The 13880-nt window shown below is 35.2% G+C and overlaps 1 protein-coding gene across 3 annotated transcripts in view, besides 1 other annotated feature; it reads left to right on the top strand.

Annotated features, from left to right (window-relative positions):
- The window catches only part of PLOD2 (procollagen-lysine,2-oxoglutarate 5-dioxygenase 2), a 91745-nt gene that overhangs the window by 23055 nt on the left and 54810 nt on the right, over positions 1-13880 (top strand). The gene's annotated exons all lie outside the window — the stretch shown is intronic.
- Positions 3088-3860: an enhancer, noted in NCBI's record as "OCT4-NANOG hESC enhancer chr3:145852057-145852829 (GRCh37/hg19 assembly coordinates)". NCBI's record gives its function as "activates a minimal SCP1, AML or CMV promoter by ChIP-STARR-seq in primed H9 embryonic stem cells {active_cell/tissue: H9 hESC(primed)}" and the evidence as "EXISTENCE:reporter gene assay evidence [ECO:0000049][PMID:30033119]".

Below are 13880 nucleotides of genomic sequence, written 5' to 3'. Positions count from 1 at the left end.
GCTGTGCCCCCTGTGGTCTGTGATCTGCTCCATCTTGGCTTCCAGCTGTCCACTCTTAATTCTAAATGGTAATTTGCAATTAACCATTTCCTGTCTTTTGAATAATGAAAACACGAATCCCTCTCCATTTCTGACTAGCAAAATATTCTCATGTCTTTGAGACCCACTTAACTGTTTCTTCCCCCTGCGGTATTACCTCAACTTGTCTTGATTTCTTCCTCCTGTGATTTATCGTTGCCCTTCATTGTTTAACCTCCTCATAGGGCTGTTATCTAGAATCAGAAATACCAATTTTTTTATTATTTGGCATACCTAGGATGGTATTTTTTTTAGTGTGATCCCTGTTGAGCGTCATCCGCATCTCTTCATGATGATACCTGGTACTCGGAATTTATTCCCCAGGAGCTCCCCATACAAACTGAATCAGAAACTCTTGGGGTGTGACCCAACAATCTCTTGTTTATACAAGTATTTGGGTAGTTGTTCTAGTCCATGCTAATGCTTGAAAAGCACTGAGCAAGGACATTGGCATGATGGTCCAGTTTCCAGACTGGGAATATCTGAGATTAAGGGTCCAGTTGGGGCCAGTGCTGTGGCTCATGTCTGTAATCCCAGCACTTGGGGAGCCCAAGGCAGGCAGATCACTTGAGACCAGGAGTTATAGACCAGCCTGACCAACATAGTAAAACCCTATGTCTACCAGAAATACAAATTTATTAGCGGGGTTTGGTGGTGAGCACCTGTAGTCCCAGCTACTCAGGAGGCTGAGGTGGGAGTATCACACTTAAACAGTGGGAGCTAATTGAATCAGAGGTCATTACGTCTTAGGAGAGTTTTTGTGAATGTGGCAGATAGAGCTTCTTACTGCATCAAAATGGTGCTATAAAGCCAATTATTTAGAAGCAACATTATGGAGCTGTATTCCTGTTATTTTCAGAATTTTTATGCTTTGATATATGGAAAATACCTTTTAGTCAATTCCATCTTTTTTAAAAAATCGCAGGTCATCTTGGAATCATAGTTGAAATAAATAGTATTTCTCATTAAAGCATTAACATGTCAGTTCATCATAAGTTTGGTAATTCAGAATGGAACCAAAGAACTTCATTGTTTGGAATACAGGTTGGATATCCCTTATGCAAAATGCTTGGGACCAGAAGTGTTTCAGATTTCCAGTTTTTACAGATTTTGGAATACAATCATCTGTTGCATAACGACAAAGATACCTTCTGAGAATTGAGTCATTAGGCAATTTCGTCATTGTAGAAACATCATAGAGTGTACCTATGTAAACCTAGATGGTGTAGCTTACCACACCTAGACAATATAGTTTACACTACTGTTTCTACACTACAAACCTGTAAGGAATGTTACTGTACCGAATATTTAGGTAGTTGTCACACAATGGTATTTGTGTATCTAAATATATCTAAACATAAAAAAGGCAACCCATTGTGCTATGACTGCTACTATATCACTAGATGACAGGAATTTTTCAGCTCCATTGTAATATTATGGGACCAGTGTTGTATATGTGGCTCATCATTGATGGGAACATCATGTGGCACATTACTGTATTTATATACACATAATGAGATATCTTGGGGATGGGACCCAAGTCTCAACATGAAATTCGTGTATGTTTCATATATACCTTTTACATATAATGCAATATTATATAATGTTTTAAATAATTTTATGCAAGAAGTAAAGTTTTCGCTGTCCTCCTCACATTAGGTCAGGTGTAGAATTTTACACTTGTGGTCTTTCAGCACTCAAAAAGTTTTAGTTTGAATTTTGGATTTCTGGGCTAGGAATGCTCAACCTGTAATATGAATTGGTAAAGTCTCATCAGGTTCAGTATTTCATTTATTCAGCACTATGCATATGACAAGATATCAGTGTAAAAAATGAAACTATAAAAGTACTGGAAGAAAATATGAATAATTATTTTATAATTGCAACATGTAGAAGGCATTTCTGAAGTGTGAGAAACAAAACCCAGAAGATGTAAGAATTAATGGCCGATTTTAAAAAGTCATAGAAAAATAAAAATTCTATCTGGAAAAAAAATCATACAATCAAAACAAAGTTCAAAGATAAATGGTAAGTGGGGAGAAAATGTTCAACCCACAAGGTTTACTTGGAATTTATTGTAGAGATACAATCTTACATGTAAGAAATTACTTGTGACCATCTTTATCAATTGCAGTTTTTTGATATTTAATTTTTTTTTTTGGACAGCAGTGCAATGGAAACAGCTTAAATTTTTACCAGCATGCTGGTTAAATAATGGTTCATTCATACAACAGAATATTATATGTCTGTACTCTATTTGGAAATATCTCGAAGAAATACAAAAATTTTAAAAAGATGCCGAGTGGAATAGAGAGTATGCACGTGTATGAGAAGTATCCACTTGTGCATGCATTAAAATATCTCTTAAAGCATACATCAGAACCAGTTTTATTGATATTTTCTGAAGGGAAGTCAGTTAAATATCTGGTAAAGATTATCACTTTCTACGTCACCTAGTCCAAAATTTAAATTACAAATAAGGAAAGATCAGTCACATATATAAATATATTTTTTAGATCTCCAACTTGGCACGGTGAATGCTAGAATGTTTCTTGTATTTTCTGGGATATACTCCATAAAAAGATACCTCCTTACATAAAGATGAGAATTTATGACAGTTTTCAACACAGAGTGAATAATAAACTTTTTTGGAGTCTTGTGGTAATTCCATAGAAGATGATATTTGTAGTTGTCTTCATCAAATCATCATTTAATTTTATGTACTGAAAATACATAATATACAGATTCAATTTTCTAGTAATATCTTATATAGCAACTTCAACTCGTAGAACAATGTGGAGAACTTCAGCAACTTGTTAGGGGAGGATTCTGAGCTGCCAAAACTGATGCTATAAAACTTTCAAGACAGTATGAGGATGGGCTGCTCCTCAATTTAAATGTATTCATTTTATGCAAGGTAGATGCAATGGAAGATATAAAATCAACTATAAAAATCATGTTATTATGTGTTCATGGCAATGTGGAGTAAAGTAAGCAAATATTTCACTATAATTGAAGATGGTAAATGAAAGTTATGACTTCTGTCCATTTTTGTTCCTGTTTCAGTCACACCACGCTTTATCAGGTCTGCTTTTAATTTTGTGTAACTCATCCATTTATTTTCATTGCTTTAATTTCGGCAGACTTGTACATAAAGGCTGTTTATTTTCCGTTATGAAGAATAAAATGTTATCTTGATTCAGGCACCTCACCCTTACAACTTTCTCTTAGAGCATGGCTTGCCTAAGCATAAGCCTAACTCAAGCTTTCTGCTCCAGGGCAACTCTCCTTATTCATATGCGAATTGGCAGGAATGTATTACCTCAGCCTGTGCTGGTTTGTCCTGGTTCCTGACTTTACTATTGATCCCCTTTTCATATAAGCATTGAAAATATTTTTAGTGTCTGTGTAAAATATGAAATAAACAGTAACAGATCATATGTGTTTCAGCAAGCTACATAACCTTGGTATCAGATTTCTGGCAGGCAGTTCATATTCTCTAATAAAGCATTTGGCTAGCAGATGGGTTACCCCATCCCACTCAAAGAAGGTTTCTCATTCATTTGTGGAGGTTGCTGAAACCTTTGAACCCTTGGAATTCAGCAGATTAAAGTCCGCTCTATTTGTGAAGGGGCAGATCCATTTTCCTTTGACATTAAAATTATATCTAGTATATACATTTTTATAACATTTGAAGGGATCAAATGTGTTTTCCAAGTCATAAATTCTGGAAAATGGTCCTATACTCTTTGTTTTAATTTTTATAAAGATAGGAAACATACTGCTTTTCCAAGATAATCTTTTCATTTTGGATATTGTTTATTGTACTTTGTATTGATATGTAATCCGCACTCCTCATTAATTCCCTTCTCTATTTCCACCCCAGCCAGTTCTTTCCACTAAAATCATATAGAGAAAATCTAGTATTGTTTTCTCTTCAAATGTAATGAGTTGGTGGGGAGATAGTGAATCTTTCTTCTTTTTTTCATGTAGAAAAATTCTCAATCCCTCAACTATTCAGTAATGATGTGATTGCTAGACCCCTGAACCTACTGGTTAAACTCCTTATTTGTCAAAATTCTCCTTAATTTAGCATCCCAAGCTCTTATAATTTTCCACAGATGGGCTATACAGATTACAGTGTAATCATCACTTCTCTTGTTAAGATAGCTTTTGTTTTTGTTTGTTTGGTTTGGTCAGCCATCTCACATTTTGGCTCATTTTTGAGTTTGTATTCAAGTAAGGCCCATAACACACTTTTTTCCCCCAACTTTTTAAAGTCAAGTTTTACTCTGATTGAACCTCCTCCCCGCCCTGTGTGATCATTCTTTGCTGTTTGAATTTTACTTTTCCCTTCTGAACTCTGGAAAGAATTTGCTGAAACTCAGTGTATAGTCCTTGGCTGCAATCCAGCCCTTTCATTTCATCTCTCTGTTTCTGGGAAGGGATTGGCATACATGTGGAGGAGCAGCTCCCACCTTTTTTAACTGCTTATCATGTTTAGGTTGAGTTCTTACCTTTTAGGTCATGGACAATTGTTGAGACGCAGAAGTAGAGAGGTATAGGGGTGATGAGGGCCTGTGGGATTTACTGAAGGGAGTTATTGCAAGCAGTTCTAAGTAAAGTGTTTTTTTGTACAGATTGGAAAAATTATATGGTTCATATGTATGTATTAATGACTTTCTGAAGTATATGGATACTTTTGAGATTGTGAGAATGTAAATTTATTTAAATGTCACTGTATTTATTTCAAGGTTTTCTCATAATTTTCTTGATCAGTTGTTGCTATAACATGGTTATAGAGTAGCCCACAATATTTTATATTAAAAATTACACCTCATACTAGGAAAATGGAGCCTTTTATTTTTATTTTTTTGAGACGGAATCTTGCTCTGTCGCCCAGGCCGGAATGCAGTGGCGTGATCTCCGCTCACTGCAAGCTCCGCCTCCTGGGTTCACGCCATTCTCCTGCCTCAGCTTCCCAAGTAGCTGGGACTACAGGTGCCAGCCACCACACCCGGCTAATTTTTTTGTATTTTTAGTAGAGACCGGGTTTCACCATAGCCAGGATGGTCTCGATCTCCTGACCTCATGATCCGCCCACCTTGGCCTCCCAAAGTGCTGGGATTACAGGCATGAGCTACCGGATCCAGCCAGGCTTTTATTTTAAAATTCAAATCTTTGTCTAATATTTATTCAAGTTTTATTGACCATAAATATACAAATTTTGATTTTTTTTGCAGTATAATCTGTATGTTTTAAAAAATGTCTTGAAGCTTTCATAGCATTTTGAAAGTTACTAGCTACTAGAAATTCTTGATCATAATATTCCTTTGAGTTCTGTCTTGAAATTTGTCAAACATTCACTATTGGGTTACCTAACAGACCAAAGCACACATGTGGGTATATCACTGGAAAAAATGAGTATCCAAAGGGATGATCAGGAAACCTAAAAAAAAAAGTTCTTAATGTTGGCATGTATAAAATTTTTATTTGAAAAGAATGATAAAGATATATCATGGTTTGGTTTGAAGTATCTATAAAGGATGGGGATGGTCTCGGTGCACCTTGGTCTTTCACATATCTATTATCTCTGGAAGTCTTGATCTATCCTTCTACATTTGGTATCTAGTTAGTATTGGACCTTATGGTTCTAGAAGAGTTTATTTTTAACTTCATGACTCCTATCCAGGACCATTTGTCTTACAGCCTTTCTGTAAATAACTGGCGATACTTGCCCTCTCCATCCCACTGCACATACTGCTATGGTGACCAACTCATTCCAGTTTGCCTAGGACTTTTCCAGTTTTAAAACTGAAAGCCCTGTATTTCTGGAATCTCCTCAGCCCTGGGCATACTGGGATGGTGAGTCATTCTGCATACTACCCTCCACTTTTCAGCACTTCTCTTAATTTGTGGTTTGTCTGTTCATTGTCCAGAGTGGGCTGTGGAAGCCCAGGCATCCATGTGAAAGCTAGTGTGTGTGAAGATGCCCTCTATGTAGCATTAGAGGTTGGAAGTGACTTTTTTCTTTAAGCATACCATTGCCCCTCTTTTTCTACAAAAATGGTAGGAAATCATTGGATGTCTCTTGACACATCCTTTTTAGGTTTTTTTTTTCTTGTTGAAATTGTGACGTGAATTACTCTTGAGGAATTTTTGTCTTGAATTTTTTTCAACAGTTCTGCAAAATAAAATTAATTCTCTTCAACAATTCCACAAAATAAAATTAGACTTCGTGCCTTCAGTTCGTCATAGTTTTTGGTGACTCAGTACTTAACAAAGCAACAAAATTGTGTGCAATGAAACCTAGGAAAACCAAGTTTTTTAGTAACTGTGAATCCCGAGTTGTCTTAGATTGGTTACCACTTAACTGCAGGATCCTGGATAAGTCTTGTTTTCTCTTTAGATTATGGTTTCCTCCTTCATGAAAGAAGTGGGCTTTGCTAGACTGACCCTGAGGTCATAATTCACATTAAAGGAAATGACTTTCAGTCAGTGGAAGAGCAGGGTATGATTACTTTATGTACCAAATACTTATTTTCTGGAATCCATTTGGAGTCATTTTTATATCTCTCTAGCTTCGCCTCTGAGTACAGAACACAGCATAATGCACTATCCCCATAGTACCTCTTTCAGATAAGACTTTCTGACTGTAGCTAGGATAATATGTCGGACATCCCCAAGACCACCTGCGGGTTCAGTGATTCACCAGGAGGACCTACAGGATTCAGCATATGGTTGTACTCATGTCTATGACTTATTATTGTGAAAGGATACAAAGCAAAATCAGCAATGAGAAAAAACACATGGGTGAGGTCCAGGGAAACCAGGAATAAGCTTCTAACAGTTCTTTTCCAGTGAAGTCACACAAGATCTGCTTAATTCTCCAAGCAACTAACTGGTTGTGACAACATGTGTGAAATGTTTACCTACCATGGAAGCTCATTAGAGATTCAGTGCCCATAACTTTTCTGGAGAATGGTCACATAGGCAGCCTCTGTACCAAAATTTCAAGCACCCAGAAGGAAGGCAGGTGTTCAGCATAAACCGCATTGTTTGTATAATTTAGCCACAGTGAGCCATCTTATCTAGGAATGATGGGAACCCTTCCCATTGGAAGACCATCTGGAAACCATATGGAATCCAACTTTTCAGATGCCTGCCAAGGACCAACCTTACAAGCAGATCTTTCTAAGGATAGAAGTCTTAAGTTGCTATCTCTTTTCTGAACATAATAAAACTCAATGATTGCTTCAGCCCTTAACCTGTTGTCACCAGGGGAGGCCACATGACATTGAGGAATAACTCTGAAGTTCTACTTCTGGCCCTACTAGTAATTTGTTAGGTGACTTTGGCTAAGTCGATTACTTTACTGGAGTTTAACCACCTGTGAATTTGAGATGATTATGCTAACTACATAGGGATTTTGTTAAATTATTTCATTCACACCTACATGCAAGACATATGATATTACTTGCCCCTGAGTCCACTCATTCTGAAATGTTTTTTAAGAACCTACTGTGTGCTTAATATTGTGATAAGCTCTGGAGGTCTAATTGTGAGCAAAAGAATGTTCTCTGCCTTTCTGTAACTTACAGTCTCATTGGAGAGAGAGACTTTAATCTCACATAATTTGAGATTATTCATAATTTGAGATTATGCAAATTAATATGTAATTACAATTTGTGGTGAGTGCCCTGAAAGAAAGGTAGAAAGTGCAGTGAAAACATGGGTACTGGCCTACTCTAGTAGGTCAGAGAGGGTCTCTCTAAGGAAATAGCATATGTGTAAGAATCTCAGGTTTACCTAGGCAGTGGCCACATCAAGATGTCAGGGAGGAATATTAGATAATGGTCTTGAAAAGGCTCTTCTCTTTGAATGGGAGGGTGCAGGCATTATTAGAAAATAAAAATACAGGCCAATGTGGTTGGAGAAGAGAGAACAAAGTGGAGAGAGAAAGTGGATGAGATTGGAGAGGAGAGAAGTAACCTAGGACCACATTGTGGTAATGGAGTTTCTCTACTATCCTAAGAGGGTATTTACCAATGAAGTGACATGGTCAGATATCTAACTGTTTTGAAATGATCACTCTAGCTGCTTTGTAAACAGAGGTTTAGAGTGTACAAAGTTGGCCTAAGAGACGATTGCAGAAACCTGAGCTAGTGCTGATTATAACTTGAGTTAGAGTTATTATAGCTTGCTGGGAGATGGAGAGGAATGTAAAGATTTGAGAAGGCGTATCTAGAGTTACTTGCTAAACTGTTTGAATAAACAGCTTCACGACTATTTTTCCATAATTTTTAAAAACAATCTGGATAGCATCTCTGGTAGAGAAAGGGATGGGAGTTATAACTCGCTGAGTTTTGCACATCACCTACAGTCTATCTTGCACATGCATCCTTTGAATATATGTGTGAGATGCTGCCTAACACATATGTAGGAGTTTGTGTCGACTGCTTTATATATACTAACTCATTTTACTCTCATGGAAATACTGTCAGGTAGATGCTATTACAGACATATTACAGTTGAGACGCAGAGTTTAAGTAACTGACCAAGTCAAAACCAAGAAGAAATAATAGAGCTGGGATTTAAGCTTTACTTTGCCTTCAGATCCATATGGCCAACTATATGGATAAGTAGCAAACTTATGACCCTTAGGCCAATTCTGGCCCTTGGCTGTTTTTGCACAGCCAGCCAGACAACTACAAATGTTTTTTACATTTTTAAAAGGTTGTAAAAAAATAAGGAAAAAATCAAATTGTATTAGACAGTGTATGTGGCCCATAAGGCCTGAAATATTTACTATTTGACCTTTTGCAGAAGAAGTTTCTCAACATCTCTATTATGCTTTTACTACGAAAACATTTTTCTTTAGTAGAAAGTTGAGAAACAGTAATCTTTACAGATAAAAGACATGTCTGGTCATAAAATCAGTTAGTTGTAGAATGAGAACAGTGTACTCACAGTTACTTCTGTGGCACAATAATTTTTTTTTATTGTTGCCAGTTTAAAATTAAGAACTGTGTTTAAAGTTACTTGAGAAGATATGGATAAAAGGCAGCTGGGCTAGTGCTGTTATTTAACTGTGATGCCCTCATTAAGAAAATTGATTTCAGTGCCACTGAGACTCCGTCTCAAAAAAAAAAAAAAAAAAAAAAAAAAAAAGGATTTCAGATGGACTTCAGAAGCTGCTTTAGCATTTGGTGACAGGATATATTAGCAAAAACACTTTCTGTTTTAAAACCATGGTTTGTTTTTGAATAGAAAAATTGTGTCACCACTGAATATTGGTAAATTGTGTTCAGATATCAACAGCTATTTGGAGAAAAAAATGACTCCAACAATGCATTTTTTTTTTCTTCTAGAGCTTTGAGGACATAGCATGTTTTGGCCTTTCTAAACAAATTGACTTCTTGATTTTTGGGGAAATTATGAAATTCATCTGAATTTTCAGACAGAGCAAAATATACAGCCATTTAACAAATATTTATTAAATCTTACTGTAGTGATAGGCATTTTGGAGGATTATGTAAAGATGATTACATAGTCTGCCACTGATTTTCATTTGGTAAGTTGTTGTTCAAATCTACCACACTGTATAGATGCATCACCTGTTTCTTATTCATGGAAACTGTATTGATCTGTTATCTAATAGAGTCCAAAGGTGGCAATAGAGGTTACATTTGGCTACTGATGAGCTTCCATTTGCTTGTTTTTTTAACCTCATGGTGCCAGGTATCTTGCTGAAACGAAGAAAATGAGATAGCTTTTGCTGTTATAGATTGGTGGTATTAGTGGTTGGCAGGTGCCTGTTATTGAAGCACCATTCCTTAGTCATCTCACTGTATCATTCATTTGGCTTGTGGAGGGTGGATTGGAAAAGGTATTAATTATAGTTATTTAAATTATAATACTGTTTGGTTAAAGAACTCTGTACATTTTATCTTTCCTTATCCTTAGATGTGTCAGTCTGCTAAAAGATTTACATTGCATAATTTTCTATCTTTCTTTTGATTGGAAGTTTAGAGATTTTACATAAAGTTGTACTCTGTCTTTATAGGAATTCTATATTTTTAGTTATTTGATAACTTTCCATACTATTTTCCATGGAGGTTGAACTAATTTACATTCCCACAAGCAATGTGTAAGTGTTCCCTTTTCTTTGCATCCATGCCAACATCTGTTGTTTTTTGACCTGTTAACAATAGCCATTCTGACTGGTGTGAAATGGTATCTCATTGTGGCTTTGATTTTCACTTCTCTGATGATTAGTGATGTTGAGGATTTGTTCATATATTTCTTGGCCACTCGTATTTCTTCGTTTGAGAAGTATCTCTTCAGCCATCGCAGTACTGGGTATCTACTCAAAGGGAAAGAAGTCATTACATAAAAAAGACGCCTATACTCATAAGTTTATTGCAGCACTATTCACAACAACAAAGTCATGGAACCAACCTAAAAGTCCATCAGTGGTTGACTGGATAAAGAAAATGTGATATATATATATACGATGGGATATGACACAGCTATTAAAAAAAAATGAAATCCTGTCCTTTGCAGCAGGATGAATGGAGCTGGAGGCCATTATCCTATGTGAGCTAACTTGGAAAACCGAATGCCACGTGTTCTCGCTTATAAGTGGGAGCTAAACAATGGGTACACATGGACATAAAGATGGAAAAAATAGACACTGGGGACTCCAAAAAGCAGGAGGTTGGGAGAGGGTTGAAAAGGGTTGAAAAGTTACCTGTTGGGTACAGTGTTCACTATGTGGGTAATGGATATACTAGAAGCCAAATCCCCACCAATATGCAATATACCTATGTAACAAACACGCTCCTGTATCCTCTGAATCTAAAATGAAATTTAAATAAATAATAAAAAGAACTATTCAGCTGAGCTCATATTGCTGAACCATACGAAAATAAAGTTTTATGTTTTTTAACACTGAATTTTGTGTTTGTATGCAACAATGAGTAACTGAACGAGGGACTTGGAAAATATGTGTTGACTGAATAAGTGAATGAATAGATGGAAAAATAGTAATTATAGGGATTTTTAAACATAACAAAAAATGCAGTTTCAGTATTTATCACATATGGCCAGTCTTGTTTTAATCTATCTACCCCAATTAACTTTAAAACAGATTGCAGGCATGATATCATTTGATAGGGTATTACTTCAGTATGTGTCTCTAAATTATAAGGACTCTTTTTTAAAAAAAAGTAAATGAAATTAGCATGCTAAAAAATTAACTAATTTCTCAACATCACCAAATACCTAATTAGTGTTCAAATTTCTCTAATTTTCTCACAAATGCTTTTTTATAGCTTTTACAAATCAGGTCCCAACTCAGGTCCGTGACTAACATTTGTTTGAAATGTCTCTTATGTTAATATTCTATATATTTCCCTTCCCTTTTCTGTCTTTTGCCATCGATTACATAAATCATTTGTCCTATAGAATTTCTCATGTTCTGAATTTTATTGCTGACATCTCTTTCCTGTCACCATATCTTTGTCTCTTTATTTCTGGTAAATTTGTAGCATAAATGGTAGTGAAATCTGAAAAGTACGTATCCAGTTTAGGTTACGTTTTCTAACAGTAATACTTCATAAATGGTGAGATGGTTGAATTCTTGAATTGGTTAAAAAAAAGCATGTGGGTGATACATGTCAACACTATTTTTTTTCTCCAACTAAGATTTTTTTCTTATCATAGTCATGATACTGAATAGCAACTTAGAGGAAACAGCTGTTCATGTGTAATATTACTAACCAGACCTTTCTTTAACAAAATTATGTATTTGTGATTTGGTTGAGGTTATTTATAAAGAGCAATAGTACTGAAACAGTAGGAGTTCTTATTTGGCATAGGATTGCTGGACATGGTCAGACTACACATGATTAAGCTTTGCCTTCTGAGTCATTGGATTTGGTAACATTTTTGTCTACTCAAGGGTCTGGCCAACTTTACTTTTCCTATTAAGGATGATGAAATCCTTGCTGTTAACTTTATACTGGAATTGTAAGTGTGAAAATCCATCCAGTAAAAACTGAAACTTGTAGTTAATTCTTATGATTTATATAGACAAATTTAAGAAATGTAACTTTAAATAGAGTAATTTTATTACAGATAGACTTTAAAAAGCTCTTTGTTCTTATAAAATAAAATGTGGTATTCCCTATTTTGAAATTTACTCTGAATAATGTTAAATTTTCATAATCAGTTAAGCTCTGTTTGAAACTTTATAAATGAAAACTTTTTTAAATAGTTAATTTTAAAAAGTATTCTTAAAATACATTTACTAGGGCCTCATCACCTAGGCTGGAGTGCAGCCGTGTGATCTTGGCTCACTACCATCTCCGCCCCCCGAGTTCAAGCGATTCTCCTATCTCAGCCTCTTAAGTAGCTGGGATTACAAGTGTGTGCCACCATACCCGACTAATTTTTGTATTTTCAGTAGAGATGAGGTTTCACCATGTTGACCAGGCTGGTCTCAAACTGCTGCTCTCAAGTGATATGCTCACCTCGGCCTCCCAAAGTGCTGAGATTACAGGCATGACCTACCGTGCCTGGCCAAGAAATACCTTTTTCTTAGAAAAAAATCTAAGAATGTTGATGTTTATCTTCATGGAAATTATTTTTTTTGGTTGACTATTGAATGTTTGAATTTAGTATTTCTTTGTATATTGTACTTACTTATATTTTATTGTAGTTACTTTCAAAATTTGACAGATAGATACATTGGTTCATCTGCTATAATTTTTAACTGATTCCTATAATGCATTATTGCCATGTTTGGTGATTGTTGCTTAGGGGATACTCAAAACCTGAATTCTTTTCTTATAAATAGAGGGCAAGTGAGAAACAAATGATGTTACTCAGAGAATATTGAAAAGATGTTAGTTTTGCTTTCTTAGTGTGTAGGTCCTTCTAAATCTTCAGTTAAAAAAAAATGTTCCAGCCCTTTTGGCATTTGTTGATGCACTTGTTTCTTTTGTGCATTTTTCCAACATGCCTTTTCCTATTAAAAATAATCATTATCTGTAGTAGCTTATGTAGGTGTTTTGAGACAATTCCTTAAATCTATCTAATTTTACTAAAAAGAAGTGTTATGTTGGATTGAAAGTAATATTTCATTATAAAATGGTAGCTAATAGTTGTATATTTACTAGGGCAGTGGTTATTTTGATTCCATTTATTCTTTAAAGAGAAACCAAAACACAATAAATAATGTTGTCGCTTGTAAGAATTTTCATGAAAAAGCAATCCCGGATAGGAGAAAAAAATTAAGATTTTGTTTTAAATATTTGCTCCCAGTTGTCACAATTTATTTTAGAAAATTAGAATCAGATTTAATGATTGTATCTGTTTTTTTTGTGTATGTCATTATTTTGATGAATGTAATTTGCTGATCTCCTCACTGGTGATGTCATAAATCAGGAATGATTTATCGATGATGTTGAAGTTTGTTGATTAGATAATGTCAGAGAATCTTAATCATGGATTATAAAGTTCATTTTATGGAAGTTTTTCTCAATATTGAAATACTTTATTGATGGCATGATTTTTCTTAATCATCAATATACTTTTTTGCGTTGAAATAATTGTCATTTGAAGGTTCATCATTTGGCAGTAATACAACCAATTTGAGTCATCTATTTTTTCGACAGCTCTTTGTTTAGTCTTGTGTAGATAAGTAAACCAGAATATTCCCACGGGTTTAGTGAGGTCTCAATTACTGTAGTGAGTTGTAAAATGTGAGCATTTGATATCTTGGTAAACCTTCTTTT

Source organism: Homo sapiens, chromosome 3 (genome assembly GCF_000001405.40).
Source record: "Homo sapiens chromosome 3, GRCh38.p14 Primary Assembly".
Taxonomy (NCBI): Eukaryota; Metazoa; Chordata; class Mammalia; order Primates; family Hominidae; genus Homo; species Homo sapiens.
Note: the sequence above shows the minus strand (reverse complement) of the source record. Positions and strands in the feature narration are given on the sequence as shown.